This window comes from Homo sapiens, chromosome 10 (assembly GCF_000001405.40).
Source record: "Homo sapiens chromosome 10, GRCh38.p14 Primary Assembly".
NCBI classification, from domain to species: Eukaryota; Metazoa; Chordata; class Mammalia; order Primates; family Hominidae; genus Homo; species Homo sapiens.
Window position 1 is genome coordinate 69,523,941 of NC_000010.11, and position 17,256 is coordinate 69,541,196.

General features: G+C 43.1%; 1 protein-coding gene and 1 long non-coding RNA gene across 9 annotated transcripts in view, besides 2 other annotated features; one reads left to right on the plus strand and one right to left on the minus strand.

Moving 5' to 3' along the window:
* TSPAN15 (tetraspanin 15) overlaps positions 1-17,256 on the plus strand; it is a 98,044-nt gene that overhangs the window by 72,476 nt on the left and 8,312 nt on the right. For 2 of the 4 annotated variants that reach the window (XR_001747072.2, XR_007061952.1), the window contains one exon: positions 6,193-6,313. Coding sequence is in view for 1 of the 4 variants with exons in the window: in XM_017016010.2 (XP_016871499.1) it covers positions 6,193-6,242 (50 nt within the window). In the remaining 3 variants the exon portion in view is untranslated. The remainder of the gene's footprint in view (positions 1-6,192; positions 6,314-17,256) is intronic. The other 2 variants (XR_007061951.1, XM_017016010.2) reach the window with 1 other exon arrangement.
* Positions 1,031-1,183: a silencer, noted in NCBI's record as "fragment chr10:71284727-71284879 (GRCh37/hg19 assembly coordinates)". NCBI's record gives its function as "represses an EF-1alpha promoter that drives an FKBP-Casp9 reporter gene in an ReSE screen in HepG2 liver carcinoma cells {active_cell/tissue: HepG2}" and the evidence as "EXISTENCE:reporter gene assay evidence [ECO:0000049][PMID:32094911]".
* Positions 3,744-4,691: an enhancer, noted in NCBI's record as "H3K4me1 hESC enhancer chr10:71287440-71288387 (GRCh37/hg19 assembly coordinates)". NCBI's record gives its function as "activates a minimal SCP1, AML or CMV promoter by ChIP-STARR-seq in naive H9 embryonic stem cells {active_cell/tissue: H9 hESC(naive)}" and the evidence as "EXISTENCE:reporter gene assay evidence [ECO:0000049][PMID:30033119]".
* On the minus strand, positions 12,070-14,988 carry LOC105378345 (uncharacterized). Of its 5 annotated transcripts, XR_001747483.2 has the most exons (4): positions 14,552-14,624; positions 13,991-14,082; positions 13,517-13,650; positions 12,699-12,784 (listed from the first exon to the last, which is right to left on the minus strand). It is a non-coding gene; the product is annotated as an uncharacterized LOC105378345 (long non-coding RNA). The 5 variants fall into 5 exon arrangements; XR_007062177.1 differs by lacking the exons at positions 12,699-12,784; positions 13,991-14,082 and adding an exon at positions 12,070-12,148 and having other exon boundaries at positions 14,552-14,640; XR_946033.3 differs by lacking the exon at positions 14,552-14,624 and having other exon boundaries at positions 12,576-12,784; positions 13,991-14,147.

Here is a 17,256-nt window from a genome sequence, read left to right on the forward strand (position 1 = left end):
TGTAGAATCAGGATTCACTCTGTATTCAACAAAATTTAAAGAAGGAAATCTACAACTAGATATATATTGATAAGTATTTTAACATAAACATCTCTGTTTTATGATGTTTCAGGAATAAAAAAGAATTATCTCAGAATATAAGTAGGAAATAAAGGTTACACACAAATTAACAAAATCAGTGTGGCCCTCAGTCCTGATGGTTCAGTATTAGGAGATTTAGTTATAGCGTATCCATAGATCAAATCCAGCTGGGCATGGTGGCTCACACCTATAATCCCAACACTTTGGGAGGCCGAGGTGGGTGGATCACTGGAAGCCAGTAGTTCAAGACCAGCCTGGCTAACATGGTGAAACCCGTCTCTACTAACAATACAAAAATTAGCTGGGCATGGTGGTGCGCCTGTAATCCCAGCTACTCAGGAGGCTGAGGAATGAGAATCGCTTGAACCCAGGAGGCGGAGGTTGCAGTGAGCTGAGATTGCACCATTGCACTCCAGCCTGGGTGACAGAGTGAGACTCTGTCTCAAAACAAAAACAAAAAACAAACAAACAAAAAGATCAAATCCAATACCCATTTCTAGAAAAACTCCTTCTTCGTGAAGAACACAAAACAGCCATAAGCCTGCATGTGCCAAACTATGCAGCAGTTAAGTAAGCACAATAACATATTTTAAAGCTACAAACAGAACTTGCAAACTAGAAAAAAAAAAAAAGGAAAACTACAATCATAGTGGGTGATCTAAACATAAATTTCAGAATTCGACAATTCAGTAGACAAAAAAAATAGACAAGGAAATTGGGGTTGAATAATTAAAATAACAAGATTATATATATATATGCATCTTTTTTTTTTTTTTGAGACGAAGTCTCGCTCTTGTCACCCAGGTTGGGGTGCAATGGTGCAATCTCCACTCACAGCAACCTCTGCCTCCCAGGTTCAAGCTATTTTTCTGCCTCAGCCTCCCAAGTACCTGGGATTACAGGCTCCTGCCACCACGCCCCACTAATTTTTGTATTTTTAGTAAAGACAGGGTTTCACCATGTTGGCCAGGCTGGTCTCGAACTCCTAACCTCAGGCAATCCGCCGGCCTCAGCCTCCCAAAGTGCTGGGATTACAGGTGTGAGCCACCGTGCCTGGCCTATATACATCTTTTTTTTAAAAGGGACAAGCCTAGCTCTGTTGTCCAGGCTGTTCATGAAGTCCTGGCCTCAAGTGATTCTCCTACCTCAGCCTCCCAAAGTGCTGGGATTACAGGCATGAATAAACACTATTAAATAACCTCTGTATTTTTAGAGTTCATAAAATGTGAAATTTAAAATTATCAACAAAAGGAGAACAAATTATATAAAACTTACAGGATGCATTTAAAACTCTTCACTAAAGAAAATATATAGACATAAAGATTTTTTTTTATTTAGAATAAAAGACTTAAACCAGGCTCATGCCTGTAATCCCAGTATTTTGGTGCAACTGAGATGAGAGATTGCTTGAGCTCAGGACTTCAAGATCAGCCTTGGCAACATAGCAAGAACCTCATCTCTTAAAAAAAAAAAAAAAAAAAGAAGACTTTAAACAAAGTTAATTAAGTATTCAACCTGGCCAGGCACAGTGGCTCACGCCTGTAATCCCAGCACTTTGGGAGGCTGAGGCCAGCAGATCACCTGAGGTCAGGAGTTCGAGACCAGCCTGGCCAACATGGGGAAACCCCGTCTCTACTAAAAATATAAAAATTAGCCAGGCATGGTGGTGTGCGCCTGTAATCCCAGCTACCCAGAAGGCTGAGGCAGGAGAATTGCTGGAACCTGGGAGGCAGAGGCTGCAGTGAGCTGAGATCGCACCACTGCACTCCAGCCTGGGAGACAGAGCAAGACTCTGTCTCAAAAAAAAAAAAAACTATTCAACCTAAGATAAAGAAACACTGATGATTAACACTGATGAACAATATTAAGCTCCTATCTGATGTATCTGAAGAAAAGAATAATAATAAAAGGAATAAAATAGACAAGACACTATAGGGAATTTCTAAAAGATAAATATTGAAATAAATAGAAAAGAAAAATTGGTGAAAAAATTTAATAAAACCAAACTTTATCTTCTATAAAAGATAAAGAGTTCGCCCCCAAACAAGCCCGGATAAGATTGAGAGAGTAGAAAAGAAGCTAAAATATACAATATTAGGAAGAAGAGATATGATATAACCACAGATATTGAAGAGATGAAAAGAATTATAGGTGAGTATAATGTGCAACTCTATGGCAGTAGATTTGAAAAAACTAGAGGAGTGAATCATTTTCTAGAAGATTATGTTATCAAAACTAATTTTAAAAATATCGCAAATAGGTCTGTAACCATATGCAAGATTAAAATGTGATTAAAAGTCTATGACTCAGTACAACTCAATAATAAAAAGACAACTCAATTAAAAATTGGGCAAAGAACCTGAAAAGATATTTCCCCAAGGAAGATAAACAAATCGCCAAATTGTCAACATCATCAGAGAAATGCAAATTAAAACTACGATGAAATGCTACTTCACATCCACTAGGATGGCTAGAATGAAAAAGCCAGATAGCTGGGCACTATGGCTCATGCCTGTAATCCCAGCACTTCTGGAGGCTGAGGTGGGCAAATGGCCTGTGCCCAGGAATTCGAGACCAGCAAGGCAATATAGTGAGACCCTGTCTCTACAAAAATAAAAGTTAGCCCAGTGTGGTGGTGCATGCCTGTAGTCCCAGCTACTCAGAAGACTGAGATGGGAGGATTGTTGGAGACTGGGAGGTTGAGGCTGCTATGAGCCATGATTACACCACTGTACCACCTGGGTGACAGAGTGAGACCCTGTCTCAAAAAAAAAAAAAAAAAAAAAAAAGCCAGATTATAGCAAGCATTGGTGAGAATATGGAGAAATTGGAACCTTTATACATTGCAGTTGGGAATGTAAAATAGTGCAGCCACTCTGAAAAACAGTCTGGCAGTTACTCAAATGATTAAATATAGAGTTTCCATATGACACAGCAATTTTATTCCTAGGTATATGCCTAAGAGAAATGAAAACATATGTTCACAGAAAAATTTGTACACAAATGTTTATGGCAACATTATTCATGGTGATCAAAAACCAGAAACAACCCAAATGTTCATCAATGAACAAATGGATAAATAAGTTGTGTTATGTCCATACAGTGGAATGTTATTTGGCCATAAAAGGTACTGAAATTCTAATACATACTACAGCACTGGATGAACCTTTAAAACAGGGGTGTCCAAACTTTTGGCTTCCCTGGGCCACGTTGGAAAAAGAATTGTCTTGGGCCACACATAAAATACACTAACATTAGTGATAGCTGATGAGCTAAAAAATTTAAGAAAGTTGGCCGGGCACAGTGGCTCATGCCTGTAATCCCAGCACTTTGGGAGGCTGAGACAGGCAGATCACCTGAGATCAGGAGTTCAAGACCAGCCTAACCAACATGGAGAAATCCTGTCTCTACTAAATCTACAAAATTAGCTGGGCGTGGTGGTGCATACCTGTAATCCTAGCTACTCGGGAGGCTGAGGCAGGAGAATCACTTGAACCCAGGAGGCAGAGATTGCAGTGAGCCGAGATCGCACCATTGGACTCTAGCCTGGGTAACGAGAGCGAAATTCCATCTCAAAAAAAAAAAAATTTAAGAAAGTTTAGGAATATGTGTTGGGCCACATTTAAAGCCATCCTGGGCTGCATGCAACCTTTTAGCCATGGGTCAGACAAGCTTGCTTTAGAACATTATGCTAAATGAAATAAGCCAATTGCAAAAGACCACAGAACTATGTGTTTAGATTCATATGAAATGTGTAGCATAAGAGTTTATGGAGACAGAAGGTAGATTCATGATTGCTTGGGACTGTGGGTGGGGATAGGAAAATTAGGGGGGTGACAGCTAAAGGATATGGAGCTGCTTTTTGAGGTGATGAAAATGTTTTAATTTACTTTGATGACGGTTATATATATCTGAATATACTAAAAACCATTGTGTTGGGGGATCTTTGGGGTGTCACTCTTCTGGCTGGAAACCTCTGTGGCCAGTGGTGCTTTTGCCCAAGTTTTGCTCGGGCTCACTTGGCCTGGCGCACTGCACTCATGCTATCCGCCCGGATCCCATGCCTACCAAGGGCCAATCAGGTGTGGAGCGGCCAGGAGTATGTGAGCAAGCGTGGAGTCTGGTCACTGTGCACAGTTGGACACTGGCTGCTGCCGCGGGGCAGGCAGCTTCAGGTGCCATGTTTCTGTGACGCTGTGGCTGGGGCAGGCGCACTGCAAGCAGCTTCCCTGGCTGGCATTGGGGAATGCAGTGTCACCTGGAAACTTGGAGACGCCAGGCACTGCAGGACCCCAAAGAGGGATACCCAGCTCTGGCTGGGGAGCTCCCAGGTCTGGGCTCCCTAAAGGGCAGCAGCTCTTCTCTCCTCTTCGCCCACAACATGGTGGGCAAGGGGCCCACCCTGTTTGTGTTACAGTTTCAACCCTGTTGGTGTTACAGCTCTTTTAGGGTGGCAGCTCTTCTCTCCTCTTCACCCACAACATGGCAGGCAAGGGGCCTGCCCTGTTGGTGTTACAGTTTCAGCCCTATTGGTTACAGCTCTTTTAGCCCCACCATTCAGTGGCTTTCAAGTTCTTGTCCTGTGACCAGGAAGAATGAGATATGCAGACAAGTGGAGGATGAGCAAGGTGAAGAGGAGTTTTATTGAGCAATGGAACAGCTCACAGAAGCCCCACAGAGGATAGCTGCTTTCCGCAGCCAGGGTATCCTGATGAGGGTGCCCTGATGAGAATGCTGAGCTGCTAGCAGAGAGGAGACCCTGGAGTAGATTGCCCCTCTTTGCAGCTGTTTGCCCCGTCTCATGCTCAGCTCTGGCTAAGCCTAGGGCTTTTATGGGCCTCAGAGGGGAGGAAGTATATGCTGATCGGTCCATGGGCAGCCATAGGCGGGCCTGGAAAAGGCACCACAAGTTCCCACTCCAGTCCGTGGGACCGGCAACCCAGCCCCCAGCTTTCAGACCCTCCCTGGCCTGAAGGTGGGGCCTCACTGGGAATCCGCCCCCTTCTGCCCAGGAATTTGTCTGCTGTTCATGGTGCCCCGGCTCTGCCAGATTTTCTCCAAGATTGGAGTGGGTGCCAACAGCAGGGAGAAGCCAGGCAGTGGGAGCAGGCACTTCTGAGCCTGCAAGGGAAGTGAGTCCTTCCCGGGTTCCCAAGAGTACAGTGATGCCTGAGTCTGCAGCTACAGTTTGGGTGGCTGCAGTGGCACCTGGAGAATTCCCACCGCAACTCAGAAGGAGCAGGGCCCCCACTTGTTTTTGGCTCCCACTGGCTCCATGGAGGTGCAACCCCATGGCTCATCCCCGCTGCAGCAAGTGTGATAGCAGCTGGCCCAGCCATCTGAAGTACCCACTGCCATCAATTGCGCAGTACATTTTAAATAGGTGAATTGTATGGCATATGAATTATATCTCAATTAAACTGTTAGAAAATCCATGACTTAGAAATGTATCAACTCTGGATGATTTTACAGCTCTCTATACTATTAATAAGGTAATATTAACTTCTGTAACTTCCCTCCTTATATCTCAGGGGCTTAGCACAATGGAAGTTTACCTTCTACTCACATAAAGACCAAAACAATGTTTCTCATTGTTAGGTGACAATCTCCCAATGGTATTTCAAGATTCCATGTTACTCCCATCTTATGTGTCTACTATCTTTATTTTTTTATTAGTTTACTTTATTTCAATCATTTTTGGGGAACAGGTGGTTTTTGGTTACGTGGATTAATTCTTTAGTGATTTCTCAGATTTTGGTGCACCCATCATACAAACAGTGTACACTGTACCCAATGTGTAGTCTTTTATTCCTCACCCCCCTCCCACCCTTCCCCCGCAAGTCCCCAAAGTCCATTATCATTCTTATGCCTTTGCATCCTCATAGCTTAGCTCCCACTTATAAGTGAGAACACATGACATTTGGTTTTCCTTTCCTGAGTTATTTCACTTAGAATAATGGTCTCAAGCTCCATCCAGGTTGCTGCAAATGCCATTATTTCATTCTTTTTTATGGCAGAGTAATATTCCATGGTGTGTGTGTGTTTATATATAGGTATCTCACATTTTCTTTATCCACTCATTGGTTGATGGATATCTACTATCTTTAACAGATGGTTCCAAGGTCATTGCAAAAGAAGATGCAAAGAGGATGGAAAATTGAAGGTTCCTATGCCTCAGGTCTGGAAAGGATCTGCTTCTGCCCTGTTCCATTAGCCAGAACTCAGTCACATGGTACCCTAACAACAAGCAAAGCTGAGAACTCTAGTCTAGTGTGGGCCCAGGAGATAGAAGAACTGTTGAGTCCTTATCAAATTTTAACAAAATGGAAACTTTGTTATTCTAATTATTCCAGATGGTTGAAAAACATTGCTAGCCACTTTATAAAGCAAACATGACCTTAATAACAAAATCTGATGAGTAAGTTCCCAAAATATTATAGACCTAAAGTCCGTAAAATGGCCTAAAAAATTATAGACCAATTTCACTTAAGAATATAGATGTGGCTGGGTGTGGTGGCTCACGCCTGTAATCCCAGCACTTCGGGAGTTGGAGGCAGGTGGATCATTTGAGGTCAGGAGTTCGAGACCAGCCTGGCCAACATAGTGAGACCCCATCTCTACTAAAAATATGAAAATTAGCCAGGGGTGGTGGTGTGTGCCTGTAATCCCAGCTATTTGGGAGGCTGAGGCTGAAAATGAAAATCTCTTGAGCCTGGGAGGCAGAGGTTGCAGTGCCCAGCCTAGGTGACAGAGTGAGACTCTCTCTCTCTCTCTCTCTCTCTCTCTCTCTCTCTCTCTCTATATATATATATATATATATATATATATATATATATATGCAAACATTCTCAGTGCACACAGTTTAAAAGTAGGAAATCTGTCAACATAAATGAAGGATACTTTAAAGACAAAGATCACATAATTCTGTCAATAAATGCTAAAAATACTACTTATAAAATTCCAAAGTGATCTCTTACAACAACTCTAACATAGGAATATGAAGATTATAACTAGACAGGATTAAAGCTGGGATTGGAATAAAAACTGCTCGGAACAGGAAAAATAAAGATGAAGTAAAGAGCTGATCTAGGTAAAAATGGAGCAAGGGAAACAGAACTAGGAAATCTAAGCAAGCAAGCCACTATATTTTTAACACTATGTAGACACAACAGAAGAGACTGATGTAGTCATAGAAAATACCTTGACTATTGCTTTTTCTAAAAGTTCAGGAAAACTAATTTCACATAAAAATAAATAAGAAATACTGAGGTCAAATCTTATTCAAAAGTATTATAGGCTGGGTGTGGTGGCTTATGCCTGTAATCCCAGCACTTTGGGAGGCCGAGGCAAGTGGATCTCTTGAGCACAGCAGTTTGAGACCAGCCTGGGCAACACGGCAAAACCCCGTCTCTACTAAAAACACAAAAACTATCTGTGCATGGTGGTGGGTGCCTGTAGTCCCAGCTACTCAGGAGGCTGAGGTGGGAGGATCACCTGAGTCTGGGAGGTCAAGTCTGTGGTGAGACATGATTGTGCCACTGCACTCCAGCCTGGGTGACACAGTGAGACTGTCTCAAAAAGCAAACAAACAAACAACCCCAAAGTATTGTAAGAAAAAAGAGAATAAGGGGGAGAATAATATTACTACAAACAAAAAAAGCATGCCAGAAAGATATACCTGCACAAAAGGTCAATAAATGTGGTATAGCACATAAACAGAATTAAAAACAAAAATCACACGATTATCTCAATAGATGCAGAAAAAACATTCAACAAAATCCAGCATCACTTTACAATTAAAACTCAGCAAAACTGGCATACAAGGGACTTCCCTCAATGTAACAAAAGCCACCTATGACAAATCAAGAACTCAACCCCTTTTACATAGCTGCAAAACAAACAAACAAACAAAACAAAACAAAAAAAAAACAAAAAAAAAACTTAGGAATATTAACAAAGAAGATGAAAGACCTCTACAAGGAAAGCTAAAAAACACTGCTGAAAGAAATCATAGATGACACAAACAGATGGAAACACATCCCATGCTCATGGATGGGCAGAATTAATATTGTGAAAATGACCATACTGCCAAAAGCAATCTACAAATTCAATGCAATTCCCCTAAAAATACCATCATCATTCTTCACAGTTAAAAAAATTGTTTTAGAATATGGAACCAAAAAAGAGCCCACATAGCCAAAGCAAGACTAAGCAAAAAGAACATATCTGGAGGCATCACACTACCTGATTTCAAACTATACTATAAGGCCGTAGTCACCAAAACAGCATGGTGCTGGTATAAAAATAGGCACATAGGCCAATGGAACAGAATAGAGAACCCAGAAATAAACCCAGATACTTACAGCCAACTGATCTTCAACAAAGCAAACAAAAACATAACATGGGGAAAGGACACCCTTTTCAACGAATTGTGCTAGGATAATTGGCAAGCCGCATGTAGGAGAATGAAACTCGACCTTCATCTCTCACCTTATACAAAAATCAACTCAAGATGGATTAAGGATTTAAATCTAAGACTTGAAACTATAAAAATTCTAGAAGATAACATCGGACAAACCCTTATAGACATTGGCTTAGGCGAGGATTTCATGACCAAGAACCCAAAAGCAAATGCAATAAAAACAAAGATAAATTGCTAGGACTTAATTAAACTAAAGAGCCTTTGCACAGCAAAGGAACAGTCAGCAGAGTAAACAGACAACCCACAGAGTGGGAGAAAATCTTCACAATCTATACATCTGACAAAGGACTAATATCCAGAATCTACAATGAACTCAAACAAATCATCAAGAAAAAAGCAAACAATCCCATCAAAAAGTGGCCTAAGAACATGAATAAATTCTCAAAAGAAGGTATACAAATGCCCAACAAACATATGAAAAAATGCTCAGCATCACCAACAATCAGGGAAAAGCAAATCAAATTGCAATGCGTTACCACCTTAGTCCTGCAAGAATGGTCATAATCAAAAAATCAAAAAACAGTAGATGCTGGTGTGGATGCGGTGATCAGGGAACACTTCTCTACTGCTGGTGGGAATGTAAACTAGTACAACCGCTATGGAAAACAGTGTGGGGAGTCCTTAAAGAACTAAAAGTAGCACTACCATTTGATCCAGCAATCCCACTACTAGAGGAAAAGAAGTCATTATATGAAAAAGATACTTGCAGATGCATGTTTATAGCAGCACAATTTGCAATTGCAAAATCATGGAACCAACTCAAATGCCCATCAATCAATGAGTGGATAAAGAAACTGTGATATATATATATATAAAACGGAATACTAAGCCATAAAAAGGAATGAATTAATGGCATTCACAGCAACCTAGATGAGATTGGAGACTATTATTCTAAGTGAAGTAACTCAGGAATGGAAACCCAAACATCGTTTGTTCTCACTGACATGTGGGAGCCAAGCTATGAGGACACAAAGGCATAAGAATGATACAATGGACTTTGGTGGCTTGCGGGGAAGGGGGAGAGTGGGCAAGGAATAAAAGATTACAAATAGGGTGCAGTGTATACTGCTGGGATGATGGGTGCACCAAAATCTCACAAATCCCCACTAAATAACTTACTCATGCAACCAAACACCATCCATACCCCAATAACTTATGGAAAAAGAAAAAATATAGAAAAAAGAAAATTAATCAAACCCAAGGACGGGTTCATGGGAACCCCAATTTATAGTCAGTTGGTCAGAAGCACAGGTAAAACAACCTAGGGCTTGTGATTGGCATCAAAAGTGGGGAGCAGTCTTTGCGTACTGAGTGCTCAACCTGTGTTATCTGATGCTGTATCAAGGTAGATAGTGTCAGAATTGAATTAGTGGACACCCAGATGGCGTCTGCTGCAGAATTGATTGCTTGTTTGGTGTTCTGGAAAAACCCACAGACATTTGGTCATAGATGTATTCTTTATTAGATGTGGCATGGGAGCAGAGGAAAAACAGTTTGTGTTTTCCACACAATACTCTAGGAAAATTACTAGGCTTTGAAGAAAAATAAAAATTCTCTGGTCATCTAGGCAAAAAAACTCCTTAAGTTAGAAGTGAAAGAAAATTGGATTATTATCATACTTTTAGGCAGTAATACTTCATGCCAGAAGAAAATGGAGTAACATATTTAAGATCTTCAATGAAAGAAAGTGTAAACCAAGGATTTTATATCCAGCAAAGGTGACTTTTAAGTACAAAAGCAGAGACAAACTGTTACCAACATGTGGGAACTCAGGGAACATTGTTTCCATTGCCCCTTCCTGTGGAATCTACTAGAGGAGCTTCAGACAACCAGAAAGAATAGAGAGACACCAGCGTAAAGACTGGTGGTGAATGTTAACATATAGATACTTGTAGAATGTAATGGTTATATGATCTGATTGTGTAATTATGGTACAATCCCTCAAAATAATGGGGGCACAAGGAGAATGAAAGAGCTTATCAAAAATATTTTAAAACATTTTCAATAATCATATCGGTGGTGATAGTATTAGTATGACTATTCTGATACTGTTGTGTGTACAATGTGGAAAAAAGCAAATGAGTGTTTATGAGATTTCTAATCAGTTGATCCTCTGTGTATGCCAGAATTCTTGGCATGGAAGAAAGAAGATACAGATGTAATATAGTAGATGTTAAATAGAAACTCTATAATATTGGGCCAGGTGTAGTGGCTCATGTCTGTAATCCCTGCACCTTGGGAGGCTGAGGTGGGAGGATTGTCTGAGGCCCGGAGTTTGAGACCAGCCTGGGCAACAGAGTGAGACCCTGTATCTTAAAAAAAAAAAAAAAAAAAGCAGGGTATGGTGGTGCACACCTGTGGTCCTAGCTACTCGGGAGGCTGAGTGTTAGAGGATTGCTTGGGCCCAGGAGGTCGAGGCTGCAGTGAGCTGTGTTCATGCCAGTGCATTCCAGGTTGGGTGACAGGGTGAGATTCTGTCTCAAAAAACAACAAAACCCCAAATTCTAATATTGAATTTGAATTGGAAAACCCCGTATGAACTGTTGAGGTATTTTATCTTAAAATATTTACATATTTTATTTCTATTTTCTAGTTCTGTTGACCAAAAACATCTGGGCATAATGACCACCCAAATGCGGTGAGCATTCCTAGGACCAAGATTATAGCACTGAAATACCCTTTCCTATGAAAAATAAACCAGGCTTTTAGAGAAATATTGTGAGAGGAATCTGGAATATCTTATCATACCAGACAGAGAGGAACTTCTTAAGCCACAAAGGTTATGTCAAAAGGACCCAGGAGTCAACTTGAAGAGGCTCCCAGTAGCCAAAATGGGACAATGTGAGCTTCAATGAGGGTAATAATTATAATGGACTGAAATCTATCAAATGCTTAACCCATGAGTTAATAATAATACTAAAAAAATAAAACCCACAAACCAATTTGTCTTTTTTGGAGGGTGACAGAGAAGCAATGCGTTGTCTTAGATCCTGGTAATTAAAGGGAAAGAATCAAGCATTTATGCCACTTCTCTTATATGAACAGTACCATGGAGTAACCAAATAATAAACACCTTATAAAGTCATTCTAGCTAAGAAATAGAATATCTGGTGTGATTTGAAAGCTTTCACCTTCAGTGTCTAGGGCCAGCTTTCTGCCCCTGGCACCCACACCCAACTCCCTGAGGCTATGGTTCCATTTATTTCTATGCATCCTGGCCCTCACTCTCATCTGACACATGCCCTTACATTCAGGAGATGCTCAATAAATCCTCTGTAGAGTGATGTGAACCCAGTCCAGAGTGAGACTTGGAGGATATGTGGCTTTGGGGGATAGAGAGCCTGCTCGCTGTCCATCCCTCATCTCAAGGAAGAGCTGCAGAGATTTTCTCCCAACTCTCTCCCACTGTCCCAGGGGTTGTGGGGGCAAATCCTGTGCCTTTTCCTAAAAACCAGACCCAGAGGAGTTCAGAAATGGCAGGGATGGAGCATCTTCGAACCTGAACTTACTTAGTAGGAGGGAAGGCCGGAGGTCGCTTAGTTCATCCCACTGCCACCAATTCATGTACAGGATTGAGGAAGCCACCTTTTTGGGAATAAAAATGTTTGACATCCTGTCATCAAGCACTGGGCCAAGGGAACTCAGTGAACAGGTTCTATTTGACACTTCACTGTAACCTATCCCTTCCTGACTCCAGCCCCAGATCAATTGCTACCTCAATTAGTGAATTAGAGCATGTTAATGACTCCATGGGAGCCATCTCAAGGTTCTGATCTGGCATTTGACCAGTATTATATTGTCATGTAAGAGTCACACATGCTCATTGACCATTCCTTCAGATAGTATTTTTTGGCCATCTTCCAGGTACCAGACACTATGCTAGGCATTGAAATACAGAGGGATGAAGAAATGGTGCCTGTCCCCAAGGGTTTCATAGTCTACTGGGGTAAAGAGATGGTACAGTGGGTGTATTCGTCTGCTAGGGCTGCCATTACAAAATATCAGATTGGGGTCTTAAACAACAAACGTTTATTTTCTCCCAATTTTGGAGACTGGAAGTCTAAGATCAAGGTGCTGGCGGGTTGGTTTCTCCTGAGGTCTCTCTCCTTGGCTTGCAAATGGCCACCATCTTGCTGTGTCCTTTTCTCTGTACACACCCATTCCTGATGTCTCTCTCTTCTTATAAGAACACCGGTCCTGGTCGGGCATGGTGGCTCGTGCCTGTAATCCCAACACATTGAGAGGACGAGGCGGGTGGATCACTTGAGGTCAGGAGTTTGAGACCAGCCTGACCAACACGGCGAAACCCCGTCTCTACTAAAAATACAAAATTAGCCAGGAGTGGTGGCACACACCTGTAATCCCAGCTATTCGGGAGGCTGAGGCATGAGAATCACTTGAATTCAGGAGGCAGAAGTTGCAGTGAGCCAAGATCATGCCACTGCACTCCAGCCTGGGCAAGAAGAGTGAAACTACATCTTGAAAAAAAAAAAAAAAAGCACAGCAGTCCTATTCCATTAGGGCCCCACCCTTATGACCTCATTTAACCCTAATTACCCCTTAAAGGCCCTGTCTCCAAATACAGTCACATTAGGGATTAGGGTTTCAACATATTAATTTGTTGGGGGTGGGGTAGTTGGGAATTCAATCCATAACAGTGGGTTTTAAGAATTATAATAAAGTCAGGACCAGGCTGCAGGGCAACAACCGTTCACCCTCATGACCATGTGGCTGACTGGGAGCTGGGCTGCAGCACCGTGAAAGAGTATGGCACTGCATATGGCTGGCCTGGGAAAAGATCAAAATATAATATCTGAAGTCTGATTTCTACTGAATGTGCATTGCTTTTGCAACATCGTAAAGTTGAAAAATCATTAAGTGAAATATCGTAAGTCAGGTACCATCTGTGCTGAAAACTGGGTGGCTTAGAACAACAGAAACTGATCATCTCACAATTATGGAGGCCCGAAGTCTGAGATCAAGGTGTCGTCAGGGCCAGGCTCCCTTGCTCCAGCCCTCTCTCCTGGCTTCTGGTAGTTACTTGGCTTGTGGCAGCAGAAATCCATAATCTTCACATGGCGTTTCCCCTTTTTATAAGGACAGCAGTCATCTTGGATTAGAGGCCTATCCTGCTCCACTATGACGTCATCCTAACTCATTACATCTACAATGACCCTATTTCCAAATAAGAACACATTCTGAGGTTCTGACAAGTCAGGACACCAGCATATGAATTTCTGGGAAGAACGTGATTCCGTCCCTAACAGGAAGCTCTGGAAAGAGTCCTGGCATGATCTGATGGAGGCCCAAACTAAGGAAGTGGTGGTGTGGATCCTGAGGGTGGGGACTGGGAATTGTCTTAGTTCAGGCTGCTATAACAAAATACCATAGGCTGGGGGCCTTAAGCAACAGACATTTATTTCTTACAGTTCTGGAGGCTGGAAGTCTGAGATCAAGACCTGCACGGTTGAGTTCTTGTGATGGCCCTTAGGGCAGTTGCAGACAGCCATCTTCTCACTCTGTCCTCATGTGGTAGAGAGGAAGCCCTGGAGTCTCTTCTTATAAGGGCACTAATCCCATTGTGAGGACCCCACCTTCATGACCTCATCTAAACCTAATCACCTTCCAAAGGCCCCATCACCAAATACCATCACAGTGAGTGTTAGAGCTTCAACACAGGAATGGAGGGGGGAAACAAACATTCATTCCCTAACAGGAATGGATTTGAAAGTTACTGATATGGGGGTTTGCCTGGTTTAGTGATGGCTGAATGTGGGTCGGAGAAAGAGGTAAGAGGTGATGACCCTGTCTGAGAGGTGAGGACCCCTCCTCCCAGGACCCTGGCTTTTCTGAGGGCATGAATAATGGCACCTCTGATATACAAAGGGCTGACAGAGGAGCAGGAGGTTTGTTTGAAGATATTGAGTGGTTTTAGGCCCAGGCTCTGGAGCAAGACCCCTGGGTGTGAATCCCACCTTCCCCACTTACTAGCTACAGTGGCCTTGGGTAGTCCCTTAACTTCTTGATGCCTTGAAGGGAAGTAACAACACCTGAGTCACAGGAGTGTGGGACTCCACAGAGGGTGATAATCCACGTAAAGTGCATCACTCAGCCTGGCTCACAGTCAGCACTCAGTGAGGTCACTCATGACCATCACAATGACTGACTAGAGGCTCCATAGGCAGCTGGCATGAAGGGAATTCTGGTTTGAGAGATCATGACCAGCCTGAGAGTTATTTTCCCACCTCCAGTTCCTTCCTGTGTGTTGAGAGCTTGCATGCACGTGTAGACGCCCCAGCCTGTGTGTCCAAGCTCTGTCCACAGCTCCCTGCAAAGAGCTAGATTAACTTACCCTGCAGTAGTGTGCAGTATGAAGAAAAGGGAAGCCATTCCTTGTGAGAAGCTTGAGGGAGGACTAGTCAGAGAGAGTGTGAGGACATGAAAGAAGGGACAGAGAGATTCCAAATGAAGGGGTAGTCAACAGCCTTCAATATTGAAGGGACTGGGAGTCAAATGAAGGCTGAAAAGTCCTAAATTTGGCTCATAGAGGTCCTTGGTGACATTAGCAAGGACAGTCTTTTGGAGACAGAGAGCAGTTGATAGAGTAGGAACCAGGCCTGGGGGCTTGAAGGCCTCTGAGATGGAATGGAAAACCAAATATTGTATGTTCTCATGTATAGGTGGGAGATAAGCTATGAGGACACAAAGGCATAAGAATGATATAATGGACTTCGGAGACTTGCAGGAAAGGGTGGGAGGGGAGTGAGGGATAAAAGACTACACACTGGGTATGGTGTACACTGCTCAGGTCATGGCTACACCAAAATCTCAGAAACTACCACTAAAGAACTCATTCATGTAACAAAAAAAATAGAAGAAGAAGAGGAAGAGGAAGAAGAGGAAGAGGAAGAGGAAGAAGAAGAAAGAAGAAGAAGAAGGAAGAAGAAGAAGAAGAAGAAGGAGAAGGAGAAGGAGAAGGAGAAGAAGAAGAAGAAGAAGAAGAAGAAGAAGAAGAAGAAGAAGAAGAAGAAGAAGGAGAAGGAGAAGGAGAAGGAGAAGGAGAAGAAGACTCAGCCCCTGCAGGATTAAGGAATAGAAAATTCAAAGGAAAAGGAAAAGGAACAGGGCTCCAACCAGAGAGTGTCTCTCTCATGCTGAAGAAGTCTCCAGAAATTAGTTTGGGGCTGATTCCATGGTGAGAGGAGCTCAGATTCCTTCTATTATGTTGCTCCCAGGGGAATAACCTGTCTCCAGATTTACCTCAAGACCAATACAGCTGCTCCTGCTCCAGCCATCATGTTCATGTTCCAGCTAGCAAGAAGATGGGAAAGAGTGTACAACACCCTCCTTTTAAGGAAGAAACCCAGAAACACATATATCACTTTTACTTATCTCACATAGGCTAGAGCTTAGCCCTCAGCCACACTTTGCTGCAGGGGGATGCTGGAAAATGTAGTCTTTTTTTTTTTTTGAGACAGAGTCTCACTGTCACCCAGGCTGCCATAGCCACCTGAATAGTTGGGATTACAGGCATGCACCATGATGCCCGGCTAATTTTTGTATTTTTAGTAGAGACAGGGTTTCACCATGTTGGCCAGGCTGGTCTCGAACTCCTGATCTCAAGTGATCCACCTGCCTCGGCCTCTCAAAGTGCCAAGGTGGGTGGATCATGAGGTCAGGAGATCGAGACCATCCTAGCTAACACGGTGAAACCCCATCTCTACAAAAAACATTTAAAAAAATTAGCCAGGCGTGGTGGCAGGCACCTGTAGTCCCAGCTACTCAGGAGGCTGAGGCAGGAGAGTGGTGTGAACTCGGGAGGCAAAGCTTGCAGTGAGCTGAGATTGCACCACTGCAAATGTAGTCTTTATTTTGGTGCCCATGCACAGCTTAAAATCCTCCCAAGATGAAAAAGAGGAGGATGGGTATTGGGAAATAGTCGTTTGGCCACTGCTTGTAGGCAAGGGGGCATGAATGTGAGGGGATTTCAATCAGAAGGCTTCTATTTTTTTCTCCATGAATTACGAGATGAGGTCCCCAGCGACAAAATGTGGTGGGAGGGTTGAATGTGGCAACTGAAGTTTTCAATTCTTGAAGGAGAGCTGGCTGCCCTAAGTGGTGCTGGAGGCCTTGGTGAGAGTGAAGTCTGTGTGTCTGCTCTATGGAGGATATACCCCAACATGCTTGCATGCTGGAGGGCAGAGCTGCCACAAGATGGACTCTCTGAGATGGGGTCTGGGGATCTGGGCATGTGGTTAGAGATGTTCAGGAAATGGACCTTGGGGTCTGGGCTCTGTAGGGAAAGCAGTGTGACCAGGTGGGAGGGGCGAGGTCTTGGAGAAGGTGAGGGAGGTCAATGGGGATGTGTCCTGCGTTCAGGAGGAGAGCTGCGGGGCTAGGAGGCTGCAGCTGGCAGGAAGACTCCAGCATTTGCAACATCAGAGTGGATGGCCCTGGGTGGTGCCAGCCTCCAGGGTGTGGGCTGCTGAAATGAAGTAAAGGAGAACATCCCCAGACTGAGGAACAGAGGTGCCAGGTGAATTTTCCTCAGGATGTGGAAGTTTCCCAGAATGATGGCAGATGGAGGGGAAGGAGTCACTGTGATACAGGGGCTGATGTCCTTGTAAATATCAGGACATTGCCATGTCAATCAGACAGTGACCATGAGTGATCACTGGGGGCAGTTCATACTG